The following is a 15,997-nucleotide window of genomic DNA, read 5'->3' as shown; positions in this document are numbered from 1 at the left end:
TCAAAAAAAGTATTTTGAAGCATAAAATCCAATAATTTTCAGTATATTCAGAGTTAAGCAATCACCACCACAATCAATAAAACAGCTAGATTTTTTAAGACACCGAAGATCACTTGTAGTAAGAATGAAAAAGGAATTTTATTTTTTTCCTGGTTTACATGAGTATATTAACAACCTGGCTATATACGGGACCAAACTCTTTCCCAGAAAGGCCCTACCAGCAGTATATGAGATCGTCTTGCCTTATGCATCTCAATGCAACCCTACTTGCATTAAGCATTACTACTTGTTAAAATCTCTAATAGCACCCCCCATTGTTTTATTTACATTTACTTTATTTAGCCACTATCTGATCTGGCTGTTCACTTGGCCAGTGTTTTAGCCTTTAACTTGCTTGAAAGGCAGCATGCTTTAAGGATTAAGACCATCTCTTATCAGACACCAGTTTAAATCCCAGCTCTGCTGTTTAGTAGAGGTATGAACCAAAATCTGGGGATAAAACATTGACCTTTTGTATCTCAATTAGTTATAAAATGACTGTTAAAATTTTAACATGAATAAAATGCCTAGGGCAGCATTTGAAACATAAAAGGAGCTTACTAATAAATGGCAGTTATCAGTTTGTATAAGCTTTTACTATACTGAGGTAAATGTCAACACTTCGGCCATCATCGCACAAATTTTTTTCACACATTTTTCTTAGTTCTTTTCTTCTATCACTCGACAGCAATGAAAATAAACCTGCTTTTTCATCCAATGGATATTCATATAAGTTTTCTTGGCCGGGCGCAGTGGCTCATGCCTGTAATCCCAGCACTTTGGGAGGCCGAGGCAGGTGGATCACCTGAGGTCAGCAGTTCGAGACCTGCCTGGCCAACATGATGGAACCCTGTCTCTACTAAAAATACAAAAATTAGCCGGGTGTGGTGGCAGGTGCCTATAATCCCAGCTACTCAGGAGGCTGAGGCAGGAAATCACTTGAACCCAGGAGGCGGAGGTTGCAGTGAGCCGAGGTCGCACCACTGCACTACAGCCTGGGGCACAAGAGCGAGACTTGGTCTCAAAAAAAAAAAAAAAAGAAAAGTTTTCTTCTAATGTATAGTTTTTAGTCATTCTCCCAACAGATATATTTTCATATAAAGGGTAGCTTAATTATCACAATTCATTTTCCCAAAGAATAACCAATCATTTAAAAATATTTTGCTCTAGCCTGGGCAACATGGTGAAACCCTGCAAAAACTACAAAAATTAACTCGGTGTGGTGGTGTGCACCTGCAGTCCCAGCTACTCGAGAGGCTGAGGTGAAAGATCACTTGAGCCTAGGAGGTCGAGGCTGAAGTGAACCATGATCGTGCCGCTGAACTCTAGCCTGGGTGACAGGGCAAGATTCTGTCTAAAATTATAAGAAAAAATTTTTTTCTAAATAATCCTTTTTCTCCACTAATGTGTGATGTTGCTTATGTAGCAGGCTCATATGTATCTTTTACTGTGTTCCATAAGTCAACTTTTTAAAATATCTGACAGTATTCTCTGGCCAATACTACACTGATTCAACCTGGAAAAATTTTCTCATTTGTTCTTAAGTCTTTTTTCACTTAAATTTATAGTTTTCTTTGTAAAAATCTCAAATATTTATAGATTTCCTCACCCTGGGCATTTCATTTTTTATTGCTATAATGAATGAGGTTTTCGCTCAAGATTTTTCATAGCCAAGTGCTACCAATTATTAAATATCTTTATGTGGTATAAAACCATCTTACTAAACTTTTTTTTTTTTTTTCCTTAAGACAGTTTCATTCTTGTTGTCCAAGCTGGAGATCTTGGCTAACTGCAACCTCCACCTCCCGGGTTCAAGCTGTTCTCCTGCCTCAGCCTCCTGAGTAGCTGGGATTACAGGCACATGCCACCACGCCCAGCTGATTTTTTTGTATTTTTAGTAGGGATGGGGTTTCACCATGTTGGCCAGGCTGGTTTGAACTCCTGACCTCAGGTGATCCACCCACCTCAGCCTCCCAAAGTGCTGGGGATTCCAGGCGTGAGCCACCACGCCGGGCACTAAACTCTTATTTTTAACTCTTGATTTGATTCTCTTGGTTTTCCCAGGTTTAAAATTGTGACTGTCTGCAAATACTGCTATATTCCACCAGTTTCCAATAGTTAAGTCTTTTATTTGATGTATTCTTGCACTGGCCAAGACATTATCAAACATCAGTGTTACTGGGCATCTTTGTTTTGTTTTCTGATTTCAAGTGTTCATAAAACAAGAAGAACTGTTTAACACTGCTATCTTGGCACATATTGGGATGATATAGCCAGAGGTTAAATACTAGCTGGTGCAAACCGCCCAAGGGTTCAAAACCAGGCTCTGTGGCTAATTTGCAACTAATCTTTGGGCAGACTATTTAACCTTTTGGCCTATATTTCATAATGTGTAAAATAAGCATAATCTCTTTCTTCAGGCTGAGGGGATTAATTGAGATAATGTAAGTGCTTAAAACACTTACTTGGCACACAGTAAATACCAGGTTTTGTCTTCTTTGACAATTTCATATTTAATTAGTTTTGCTGGTGTTTTACTTAGAATGTTCTTGGCTTCTGTATGTGCATCTGGGGCCGGGTGCAATGCTTCATGCCTGTAATTCCAGCATTTTGGGAGGACAAGGCAGGAGGACTGCTTGAGCCCAGGAGTTCGAGACCAATCTAGGAAACAAAATGAGATCCCGTCTCCACAAAAAATTTAAAAAATTATAGCTGGGTGTGGTGGCACATGCCTGTAGCCCTAGCTACTCAGGAGGCCAAGGCAGGAGGATTGCTTAAGCCTAGGGGTTCGGGGCTACAGTAAACTATGATTGCGCCACTGCACTCCAGAATGGGTGATAAAGCAAGACCCTGTCTCAAAAAAACATATAAAAGATAAATTGGGGCAGGGTGCGACGGCTCATGCCTATAATCCCAGCACTTTGGGAAGCTGAGGCAGGTGGATTGCTCTGAGCTCAGGCGTTCAAGACCAGCCTGGACAACATGGCAAAACACGATTTCTACAAAAATTAGCTGGGCATGGTGGCTCACCCCTGTAATCCCAGCTACTTGGGAGGCTGAGGCTGGAGAATCACTTGAACTTGGGTGGAAGAGTTGCAGTGAGCAGGAAAAAAAAAAAAGATAAATTTGGAATATAGTTTTCATCCTTTGTAATGTCTTACCAGGTTGCTGTTCTTATATTTTGTATTTTATTAGGTTTTTAAGAGTTTAGGCTAGTTTTTATTTATTTATTTATTTATTTATTTTTGAGACGGAGTCTCACTCTATCGCCCATGCTGGAGTGCAGTGGTGTGATTTCAGCTCACTGCAACCTCCACTTCCCAGGTTCAAGCAATTCTCCTGTCTCAGCCGCCGAGTAGCTGGGACTACAGGCGTGCGCCACCACACCCAGCTAATTTTTGTATTTTTAGTAGAGACTGGGTTTCACCATGTTGACCAGGCTGGTCTTGAACTCCTGACCTCAGGTGATCTTCCTGCCTCGGCCTCCCAAAGTGCTGGGATTCCAGGCGTGAGCCACCACACCTGGCCTGGGCTAGTTTTGTAACATGAATTTGGTATCTTTTGGTATTCTAGGATCTAGAATAAATCTAGTTTATGTTTTTTGAAACTTTTAAAGAGAACATATAATTTATATATGGGTATTTATGTTAGGTATATCATTTATATAAGAGTATATAATTTCTATGCTAACTGGGTCTGGAGCACTCCTTCCCCTAGCTGGTTGCGAGGGCATGGCCTTTAATATATATTTAATATATTCCATGAGTTAAGGCCAGGCACAGAGGCTTACACCTGTAATCGCAACACTTTAGGGAGGCCAAGGCAAATGGATCACTGGAGCCCAGTTCTGGACCAGCCTAGGCAACATAGCAAAACCCCATCTCTACAAAAAATACAAAAAAATTAGCTGGGTATGGTGGTGCACACCTGTAGTCCCAGCCACTCAGGAAGCTGAGGAGGGAGGATCACTCAAGCCCAGAAGGTTGAGGCTACAGTGAGCCAAGACTGCGCCACCGCACTCCAGCGTGGGTGATAGAGCAAGACCCTGTCTCAAAAAAAAAAAAAAAAGAAAAAGAAAAAAAAATACACACACACACACACACACACACACACACACACACGGTTAACAATCTATTCAAGTGCTCTACTTCTTAAATACATACTTATTTAAATATTTACACACATTTAAAATATCCCCCGCCCCTCCCTTTTAGCTTCCATAAGGGTACCCGCTTCCAATTTATATATATTTAAATATTTACATATATTATTAAATATGGTTAACAATCTATTCAAGTGTTCTACTTCTTAAGACAATTCTGAAAAGCAATCAGTTCCACCTTCATGATTAGCTCTTCCAAAGTTGTGCATGACACACAAATTTAGACCCAGTGTCTACAGTTACTTGGTCACTTTCTTCTGGATATACTCCTATGTCTTGTTCCTCTTCCCTCTCCGTATTTCTTATTATTCCTTCCTCTTCTCAATGATAACAAAAGCCTCCATAAAAGACAGTCTTTTGACCTTTTCAAACACCAAAGGGCATCAGCATACAATCTCGTATGCTAAGCACCCTGATTCCTGTCTTCCTTTCACTATATTTAAAAAGTCCGGGAGCTTCCATAAGATTAAAAAAGAAAAAACATTCCCCGCCCCTCCCTTTCAGCTTCTGTAGGGAAGGGTTGCCCTCTTTCCATCAACTCAGTTTCCAATCACTATGTGAACAAGACCAAGACTAGCCTTTGAGTAAATGAATAGGTTAGCAACAATCTTAAAGAACAGAAATGGATGATTTTAACAATATAAAAACAGAAGGTATTTACACTTTGCTGTTTACATACAGGAAGATGCTAACAGTTCCTAGTTCCTTCCTGCCTACATGGGAAGGTTAAGGCACAGGGATGCAGGCCACTGTACCTGTGACTAATGTGCCATATGTGACTTATGTGCCAAAGCATATTAGATAACTATAATGAACACAAGTAAAAGGATCCTATAAAAACATCAAAATGAGACCAGGTGCAGTGGCTCATGCCTGTAATCCCAGCACTTTGGGAGTCCGAAGTGGGCAGCTCACTTGAGGCCAGGAGTTCAAGACCAGCCTGGCCAACACAGCGAAACCCCATCTCTACTGGAAAAAAAAAAATACAAAAAATTAGCCGGGCATGGTAGCATGCACCTGTAATCCCAGCTACTCAGGAGGCTAAGGCACGAGAATTGCTTGAATCCAGGAGGCAGAGGTTGCAGTGAGCCGAGATCATGCCACTGCACTCCAGCCTAGGTAACAGAGAGAGACTCCGTCTAAAAAAAAAAATTAATTAAATTAAAAAGCAAAAACATCAAAATGACTTTCAAGTCCTAGAAAATATTCCAATTTAAATTGTGCAATTTAATATTTTCAGATAATCTCAAATATGGAAGAACTATGCATTCTTTCAGCAATCCTATCCTGCCCCATCCTTATCTCAGACATTTAATAGAATCCTACTAAAAAAGGAAATAGTTAATAAATAAATGGATGTAGCTTCTAGAAATCAACACTTAGCTAGGTATTCTGGCAATCAACATCAAGTGCAGTCTGATGATTTGTAGATTCCATCTTTTCCTTTTATGGAAAAACTGTACTTTTAACTTTCCTAATTTTCTTGCATGGCTCCATTTCATCACAGCTCCTCAAAGATCACTGACAGCAACTCAGTAAAGAGAAATGAAAGTTCTTTGTGTCCTGAGACATCAAACATCCTGACCAGGAGACTTGACCTCATCTGTTTCTGTATCAGAAATGTCCTATGTTCCAGGATGATTCTACATTCCAGTATCATGTGGTAGAGGCAGCATGGTAGGTTGCAAGTTCAAGCTCTGTGACCTGGGTTTCAAATCTAGGACCCCTTTCTACATGTATAACTTCGGGCCAATTACACAATTTGCTTGGTTTTCCCCATTACTTACCTAAAAATATGAGGACAAAATTTGATATTAAAAAGGGCTGTTAAAAGATTAAACGGGAGGTATCCGCAGGAGTGGCCGGGTGGCGGGAGGAACCGTTACGGGAACTGAAGTTGCGGATTAAGCCTGATCAAGATGACAACCTCCCAAAAGCACCGAGACTTCGTGGCAGAGCCCATGGGGGAGAAGCCAGTGGGGAGCCTGGCTGGGATTGGTGAAGTCCTGGGCAAGAAGCTGGAGGAAAGGGGCTTTGACAAGGCCTACGTTGTCCTTGGCCAGTTTCTGGTGCTAAAGAAAGATGAAGACCTCTACCGGGAATGGCTGAAAGACACTTGTGGCGCCAGCGCCAAGCAGTCCCGGGACTGCCTTCGAGAGTGGTGCGACGCCTTCTTGTGATGCTCTCTGGGAAGCTCTCAATCCCCAGCCCTCAACCAGAGTTTGCAGCCGAGTAGGGACTCCTCCCCTGTCCTCTACGAAGGAAAAGATTGCTATTGTTGTACTCACCTCCGACGTACTCCGGGGTCTTTTGGGAGTTTTCTCCCCTAACCATTTCAACTTTTTTTTGGATTCTCGCTCTTGCATGCCTCCCCCGTCCTTTTTCCCTTGCCAGTTCCCTGGTGACAGTTACCAGCTTTCCTGAATGGATTCCCGGCCCCATCCCTCACCCCCACCCTCACTTTCAATCCGTTTGATACCATTTGGCTCCTTTTTTGGCACAACAGTCACTGTCCTTGTAAAGTTTTTTAGATCAATAAAGTCAGTGGCTTTCAAAAAAAAAAAAAAAAAAGATTAAACGAGGTAAACTACTCATAGAGGTTTTTTTTTTTTTTTTTTTGGTGAGCGTGTGTGTTTTTTTTAGATGGAGTTTCACTCTTTGTTGCCCAGGCTGGAGTGCAATGGCGCGATCTTGGCTCACCGCAACCTCCGCCTCCAGGGTTCAAGTGATTCTCCTGCCTCAGCCTCCCAAGTAGCTGGGATTATAGGCATGTGCCACCATGCCCGGCTAATTTTGTATTTTTAGTGGAGGCGGGATTTCTCCATGTTGGTCAGGCTGGTCTCGAACTCCTGACCTCAGGTGATCCGCCCACCTCGGCCTCCCAAAGTGCTGGGATTACAGGGGCGAGCCACCGTGCCCGGCCCATAGAGGTCTTAAACAATGTATCAGCAGCTAACATACCTGTGCTAAAACATACCTGTGCTATGTTAGCAATTATTTACTTTTTACCACATGCCTCCTGTTCACACAAGTACAGAATCTTTATGCCTTTATGCTATCTTCTTTTTTTTTTTTTTTGAGACAGTCTTGGTCTGTCACCCAGGCTGGAGTGCAGTGGCGCAATCTCGGCGCGCTGCAACCTCCACCTCCCGGGTTCAAGCAATTCTTATGCCTCAGCCTCCCAAGTAGCTAGGATTACAGGTGTGCGTCACCACACTCAGCTAATTTTTGTATTTTTAGCAGAGACAGGGTTTCACCATGTTGCCCAGGCTGGTCTCAAACTCCTAAAGGCCTCAAGGGATCCACCAACCTCAGCCTCCCAAAGTGTTGGAATTACAGGTGCGAGCCACCACGCCAGACCCTCTTTATGCTATTTGCATACTGAATTGGTATGTGGCGGTGACGCTGATTGGAACCTCTTATTTCAGCAACTTCAGGTCACACTGAAGACAAACTGGGGAATAAAAGAAACAAACTGAGAAACACCTCAAATTGCCTCAGTAGTGACATTAATATATGAAGTAGCCAGCTATGTTTGAGATAATGGGAACCCTTGGCCAAACAATGCACCAGGGCATGGAGAGGGCAGGGCAAGACATACGCTGAGTTCTTTCTCCTCCTACCCTCTCTAATCTTCTGCCCAGGGCTTCCATTGGCTAAACCCAACCAAAGCCCAACCAGTAGGCAGGGGGTTCTGGGTGCCATGGTGACAGCATGGTCCTTCAAGGACAGTGTGGGGCACTAAAAGGAGCAAAAGGGTCTGGGAGGTGAGACAACTGGAGGATCAGCTCAAAGGCAACACACTCCAGGAACGTAGAGATGAAGACACACCTACTGCAGAAGGGGCAGCAAGATTTCTCTGATGTGGCAAGAATGTTGAATCAGAGACTTGCTTGTCTTCCTGTGTTTGGGGGAGGTTCAACCTTAACATTTAAGTGGGGTGGGTTCAGGAAGCCCACAGCAGAGAAATTAAAATGAAGTGTTTAAACCAGAAAGAAAAAAAAAAAGATAATGGGAAATCAGGCTCCCACTATCGTAAATCCCCTGTAAATGTCCCTTTTCTTAGGTCAGGACACAAAATTAAACCCCCAATGGCAATATAAAATATTGAGGATGGGCAAACTCACCAAACCTGCAGAAACGTGGATAAAACAGGAAACAGTAACTTTTATTTTTTTATTTTAATGAATTAAAACTACAAGAAAGCTAAATTAATAGGTTACAGGTATGAACATATTTGTATTTAATTACATGCTTATAAAGATTTTTAAAAAAGGCTTGAAAAGCTGCTAAAGTATTCATTCTTTTAACAAAATTGAAAATTAAGAAAGTTAAAAAGGAATAGTTTTAAAACTATATAATAATATAGCATAAAGCTCGGCAACCGAGAGTCAATTTGCAACTGAGACAAAACAACTTTAAGTGGCTCCTTTTCGCTATTTTTAAAACTTACTATTTCAGAGGGCTGAGATCACAACAAATGATACATCCAACTAGAGATCAAGAGTCTAGCTTTACTTGGAGGTTGCTTAAACACTTCTAAAGTCTTAAAATATTTTTCAAAGTACGTATAGTACAGCAGAAAGAATTTGAGACTTCAGCCATCATAAAAGCTAAAATGTATTGGACACTTACAGCACACTATCAGACACGCTATGCATGGCATTCTTACTGAATCCTCACAACTACTTTATGTATAGGTTCTATTATTGCTATGTTACAAATGAGAAAGCTGAGGAAAAAGAGGCATTAAACACCCTGCCCAACAACACACAACCAAGGTTTAAATCCAGAATTTATGGCCAGAGTCCCTCCCATCTCATCTCTACACTGAGCTTTAGTTTTCTCACTTATAAAACAGTTTGGAGCTGGGCAAGGTGGCTCAAGCCTGTAATCCCAGCATTCTGGGATGCTGAGGCAGGAGGATCGCTTGAGCCCAGGAGTTTGAGGCCAGCCTGGGCAATATAGTGAGACCCCGTCTCTACAAAAAATATTTTTTAAATAGAAAAATGAAAGTTTGTATGGTATATTCTCACTCTAACTAAGTTTATAAATTCATGTAACCTTGTAGTGTCTCTCAAATTGCATGCTGATTTTAGTAGTTCATAAAAAGCATTAAGAAATAAAATAGAAAGTATTAGAATGCATTCTATGTAGTAAGACCTAAGTACTGTTTCATGAAATTTCTTTTTCAGTTTTGAGAGTGTGTGTATGTGTTGGGTCACTGGTCAAAAATATAATTTCTCACTGCAGGCTGAAATTAAAAAAAAAAAAAAAGGCTTGGTGAAAGCCACTACAATCTTAGTTGAATTCCAACTGACAAAAAATTATCATCCGAATTAGTAAGTAAATGCTTTGAATGCCATACTAGTAAGTATGCAAATAAGAGGGTTTCCTAACCTGTGTTCCAGTAGAACCTTTCTTCAAGATGTTTGTGGGTATTTCCTGGGGGGGAGGGTGTGTTCTTTTGACCAAATAAACTTGAAGGAAGGAAATATAATGTGCAGTATTTCTCAATTTGCCAATACACACTACTAAAAACTCTGACAAGCTCTGCAGAAAAACAGTAACACAATCACCATCAAAAATAAAACTCTGTTTAACTATGTTTAACCCAGTGTTTTCCCAAGTTGAAATCTCACCCTGGAACCTCTCCTACAAACAACTAATCTCTCTAAGACTGGCAGTCTACAAAACACAATTTGGGAAACACGGCTTTACGTGGAACTTATCTGCGAAAAGGGGATCCTCATAACCTTCAATTATCATGGTATGTAAATCACTTTCAAATAAGCACAAATATAGCTGAGATAAAAAGATAAACAGAAAAAATTGTATTTTGGTTAAGTATTTCATCTCTGTTAAGCAAGTTTGCTTTTTCTTTTTTCTTTTGAGATGGAGTTTCCCTCTGTTGCCCAGGCTGGAGCGCAGTGGCACTATCTTGGCTCACTGCAACCTCCACCCCCAGGGCTCAAGCGATTCTCCTGCCTCAGCCTTCTAAGTAGCTGGGATTACAGGCACCTGACACCATGCCCAGCTAATTTTTGTATTTTTAGTAGAGACATGGTTTCGCCACGTTGGCCAGGCAGGTCTTGAACTCCTGACCTTAAGTGATCTGCCCACCTTGGTCTCCCAAAGTGCTGGGATTACAGGCACGAGCCACCATGCTGGCTGCAAAAGTTTTCTTATACTACCACACAGCTGTATCATTTAATATTTATAGAAAGAACGTATTATTATACTCTGAAAACATGAGGTGGGGAAGAGGGGAGGGAAGATAAATTTTAAAAGGTAAGAAACAAAAATCCTCTATCCAAATAAATTACAATCTAGAGACACGAAACTTACATACATAGGAAAAACTTATAACTCACCAATGCTGAACAGCGATGAAACCATACTGTAACTAGAGAGATGGGAGCCAAAAGAGTATCTACATGGGTCATGTTAACGGCCTGAGTTTCTGTCTCCCTGCTATAGAATCTAAAAGTAAATGAACTGGCTGGCTGATGATATGCCATCAAAGCAGGAAAAAACTTGTTTACTGAGCTCCTTGAGGCCTGGCCTTTAGTACCTAGCATAAGGGGCATTAAAAACTGCTTAAGCCTGGCGCGGTGGCTCACGCCTGTAACCCCAGCACTTTGGGAGGCCGAGGTGGGCGGATCACAAGGTCAGGAGTTCAAGACCAGCCTGGCCAACATGGTGAAACCCCGTCTAAAATTAGCCATGCATGGTGGCGCGCACCTGTAATCCCAGCTACTCGGGAAGCTGAGGTAGGAGAATCGCTTGAACCCGGGAGGCGGAGGTTGCAGTGAGCCGAGATCACGCCATTGCACTCCAGCCTGGGCGACAGAGGGAGACTCCATCCTGGGAAACAAACAAACAAACAACTTGTGGACCAAATTAATAATAGACATTTGAGGATGTATGAATGCTAATGGGTGGTGAATATCACCCTTATCTCTTACCAGTGATAGAATCCCGAGCTGCAAAGAACCCTGTGATCTAAGCCAGGATGCCACCTTTACATAGGTAGGGGATTAATACCAACCACAGCCAAAGCATGTTCTTTACATTCCCAAATTTAATTCTACATTTTTGGTTCTTTCTTTCCCACTCTCATTGCCTTTTGTTAATGTTTTTCCTTCCCCTAAAACACACAACTCGCCCAACTTTACAACACAATTGTGACAACGAAACTGATGTGAGGCTTGAGGACTTGTTAATAAATAGACTGACTTACTAAGCTTGTACTTTACAACCATAAAACATTTAGTTCTTAACTATTTATTCATAAGCACAAAGGTAGAACATTTGAAAATACACATTTTGATGTTATTCTCATTACCCTAAGCAGAGAACTTCAGTACTGTGAAATAACACTACCATCTGACCAACTGGGAGAAAAAAGGTTAAAGCACAGTCACATGCCATAAAGTACTCAGACTGCAAGACCACCAGCAAAAGGGGAGGGAACCAGTGCAGGAGAAAAAGGCAAGTCAGAAGCCTACATACAAATCACTGAAAATAAGGGTAAGAGAATTTAAGGGGTTTTCAATCTGGGGCCCTTGGTATAATAATGGGATGACTGAAGCCCAGAGAGATGGAGTTACTTGTACAGAGTGACAACATAATTAGCCATGGAGTCAGGACCCAGCCCAGATCTTTCGATTCCCAGGCTTCTGTGTTTCCCACTGTAACACAGGCCTCCCATCTTCTCTACAAGAATAATGTAGAAATTAAATACTATCTACTGGCCTAACTAAACTATAAGCCACTAATCAAATTATGACTATACAACGAAAGCATTTATAATAAACCATCTCTTTTAGATTGTAATGTGGTTACTGCTTGGAAACCTATTAAAATCCAAATTCGGATCTATTTATAAACCTCCATTCTAAAATACTAATTCAAAACTGCTCAGCAAGGAAAATAAAATTATTTCATGAGGGAGTCATACCCTATTTCAGGGAGCACATATTTTGAAGTGAGGCAGACCTGAGTTCAAATTCTGGCTCAACTGTGCAATGTTTGTGTTATCCTGGACAAACCCTCCACTTTGGTTTCCCATCAATGATGTTGGGGACAATACTACCTAAGAGGTTTGCCCAACATTTAGTGGACCTAAACGGTAATTTGTTCCCCCAAGCTAACTAATTTTTGTTAATTTTCCTTGATTCTTTGTCTATTTCGACTTCTAACTTCATACACGCCTCCCAAATCACTTGCCAGCTACATCACAAATATTATGAATATTAGTATATTAAACCTTAAAAAAGAATTATATGACAAAGAACATTTAATATATTTTGAATACAACCTTTGTAAATGTTAGTGAAAAGGTCCAAAAGAAGACATTACTGCATAAAGTATGATACTTAATTCAAGTAAACTGGACAAAGAATGAAGAAAACCAGGCTCCAGATTCAGTCCTGTGGCTAATAAGCCATAAAACCCTAGAAAAGAGACTTCACTTTGCAGAAAGCTACACCTGTTACTGCTCAAAGTGAACCAAACTCTGCTCTAGTTACGGTGGGCCTCAGTGTTCCCACCTGCAGAAAGAACCATTCTGCCTAGGTTGTTTCTGAAGTTCTAAAGTTTCTCCCCCCTGGAAAAGCCTATCATGAGCATCACAAAACTTATGTCTAGGCATCTGATACACGGCAGCACATCAGATGTAGCAACTCATTTAATCGTCCTACAACCCTCTCAGATATGGTCTACTATTACCATCCAAGGAATTCAAGCTAGACAGAAGGAACTTAAGGTTATAGAGCCCACAGCAGAGGAATGAGGGTTCAAAATCTAGGCAGTCTGGCTGCACCTGCGCTTTTAACCACTGGCTAACACTACCTCTCCAAATTCTATAAACCTAAAAGCGGGCCTTAACTACAGACATGTAAACAGAAACCTGTCCAAGTATTTCTTCCTAGTGCCTCAATACAGCTGATATATAATCTACTGTGGAGGGAGACAACAGTGACTAGCATGTTAATAGTCAGTACACTGTAAAGAGCAAGTTACAGTTCATGAGACAAGATCACAAAGTAGGAACTTAATTAAGATCAAGATACACAATGTATGTTTTGTTTCTCAAATGTATTACCAAATAAAGTGTGTGATCTTTTAACAGTATCATACTTCCGTGGTCCTCAACAATTTTTGCTGGATAATGCTCCCAAAGAATAATTACCATATAAAAACAAACTGCCACTAAATAATGGCTAGATTTTCCCCATCTTTGAAACATGCATATGAATACACACATAAACAAGCAAACACAATCTATAACTTAAACACTATATTCTGAGTACCAAGACAAAAGCTATTAAAGATCATACAAATAGGTATGCACTGGATATGGTCAACATGAAGGGCCAAGGCAGGATTTACCTCCCTCCTTTGGAGCCACTTCACACCCGAATGACCTCCCGCAATTCTCTGCATGCCATCCTGCCTTCCTCTGCAGGCTTAACATCACAGCTGCTATAAACCACAATTCTGCTGTCCCCTCACCCCTTCTGTTTTAAAAGTTAAAAGCACAGTGGGACTGGGAAGCTCAGTGAGACAGAAATGGCACAACACCCCCCAAAAATGCAGATGGCAACTAGCTGTTAACCTGATTTCATCACCACCAGTCTATGATCTGCCACCTAGGCCTGTAGTAACTCTTCTCATAATCCTCGGAGGGCCTGAGAAACAGAGGCAGAACACTGATCATTTTATTCACAGACTGTTCTACTCTACAAATGGTGACGGCAGAAGTATTTGCTTCACTTTGCTCTGCCCCCATATTCCGGACTGTAGAGATGAGGGGAGTTGAGTCCAGTCTCTCTTTCTCACTGCAAGACACCCTTGCAGGAGAATTTTTTAAAAAGTAGTGGTTGGGATCCGGTCGGAAAGTCACTAAGGGCACAGAACGTACGAACTCTCACACAGCTCAATTCCTTCTGTAATTAAAGAAGGCTCTAATACAAGTCTTCTTACAATGGCCAAAAGATACTGATGACTAAATTGCTATGCAAATTTAGATTACCTGACTTCATAATAATGCCAGATCTTTACACCTCAGTAATAACAAGTCACAAGTAATTTAACCCAGAGATTCAGATTTGATATTTTTTCCCCACAATTTTATCAAAGTGTGTAAAAAAAAATGTTTACCAGTTTTTCTGTTATCCAAATTAATCCACCTTCCACAGTCCCATTTCTGTAACATGTAAAGACGTTCATAAAATCAAATGCCCAATTAAAAGAAGCAATGAAAAAGAGGAAAATGAATTTTTATTTTTATTATTTTTATTTTATATATACATTTTTTGAGATGGGGTATCACTCTGTCACCTCAGGCTGCAATGCAGTGATCAAAATTCACTGAGGCTGCAAATTCCTGGGCTCAGGCAATCCCTCCTGCCTCAGCCTCTTGAGTAGCTAGGACAACAGGCACACACACCACCATGCCCGGCTAATTTTTTATTTTTGTGGATATAGGGTCTTGCTATGTTGCTCAGATCGGCCTCCAACTCTTGGGCTCAAGCAATCCTCCCACCTTGGCCTCCCAAAGCACTGGGATTATAGGAGTGAGCTACCCCGCTCGGCCTGACCTTTTAAAATAGGGCTGGAGGCCAGTGTGGTCAGGCCTATAATCCCAGTGCTTTGGGAGGCTGGGGCAGGAGGATGGCATAAGCCCAGGAGTTCAAGACCAGCCTGGGCAACAGAATGAGACACCATCTCTTTTAATTAAAACATTTTTTAAATTAAAAAATAAAATAGAGCTGGAATAGAAACAATGCCAGAAAGGTAAACAAAAGACAATACCTGAAACAAAATTCGTCCTACTACTGAATTTTATTTTTGGGGGTTGGGGAGGTTGGATTTGTGTATTTTCATGGCAGATGGCTAAACTGTGAGTGATTAGTCATCAATCTGGAAAAAAGGCTCTTGGGAAAGTATGGCAATAACTAAAGAAATCTGTAATCCCACAAAAGTTGATCAAAACAGAAAACTTTAGTAAATATTCCAAGGTAATAAAGACCCTGTGTGGCATACGTATTTGCAATATACAAACATTCAAATAAAATCAAGTTACCAAACCCCATACTTATACTGGACTTTCTTAGCAGTTCTTCTACATTAACTTTAGGAAACGTATACAGCCTTACTCAGCATCTTACTTCATACGTGATGAAACAGAAACAGAGATCTTATTAATACACCTTAGAATGTAAAATACATGGGAAAAAACTGACTTAGTACAAGAACCTGAAGTAGAAAATGCTAATGAAGGGAAGTAAGCTGCCTTGAAATAAAAAAACAGATATCCAGGCAAGCGTGGTGGCTCACGCCTGTAATCCCTGCACTTTGGGAGGACAAGGCGAGATTACTTGAGCCCAGCAGTTCAAGACCAGCCTGGGAAACATGGCAAGACCCTGTCTCTATAAAAATACAAAAATTAGCCGGATGTGATGGTACGAGCCTGTGGTCCCGTCTACAGGAGGCTGAGGTGAGAGGATGGCTTGAGCCCAGGAGGTTGAGGTTGCAGTGAGCCATGTTCGCACCACTGCACTCCGGCCTGAGCGACCGAGTGAGAACCTGTCTCAAAAAACAAAACAAAACCAAAAAGGCAAATACCACCCATTTGTTATAGTAGCAAACCATTTCATGAAATATTCTATGCTTATATCCAGCCTGAGTCTTCGTGATGTCATGTTCAAAAAATAGTTAACCTATATGGATGGCCCTAGTGTAGAGACTATTTTTCAGGAGCGAAGTGGGGAGTGGGAAGGGACACTG

The 15,997-nt window shown here is 41.2% G+C and overlaps 1 protein-coding gene and 1 pseudogene across 5 annotated transcripts in view, besides 1 other annotated feature; one reads left to right on the top strand and one right to left on the bottom strand.

The window, feature by feature from the left end:
• Positions 1 to 15,997, bottom strand: part of CAB39 (calcium binding protein 39) — a 108,234-nt gene that overhangs the window by 89,552 nt on the left and 2,685 nt on the right. The gene's annotated exons all lie outside the window — the stretch shown is intronic.
• Positions 6,045 to 6,755, top strand: BANF1P3 (BANF1 pseudogene 3; annotated as a pseudogene).
• Positions 9,837 to 10,360: an enhancer, noted in NCBI's record as "NANOG-H3K27ac-H3K4me1 hESC enhancer chr2:231585879-231586402 (GRCh37/hg19 assembly coordinates)". NCBI's record gives its function as "activates a minimal SCP1, AML or CMV promoter by ChIP-STARR-seq in primed H9 embryonic stem cells {active_cell/tissue: H9 hESC(primed)}" and the evidence as "EXISTENCE:reporter gene assay evidence [ECO:0000049][PMID:30033119]".

Source organism: Homo sapiens, chromosome 2 (genome assembly GCF_000001405.40).
Source record: "Homo sapiens chromosome 2, GRCh38.p14 Primary Assembly".
Classification (NCBI taxonomy): domain Eukaryota; kingdom Metazoa; phylum Chordata; class Mammalia; order Primates; family Hominidae; genus Homo; species Homo sapiens.
Note: the sequence above shows the minus strand (reverse complement) of the source record. Positions and strands in the feature narration are given on the sequence as shown.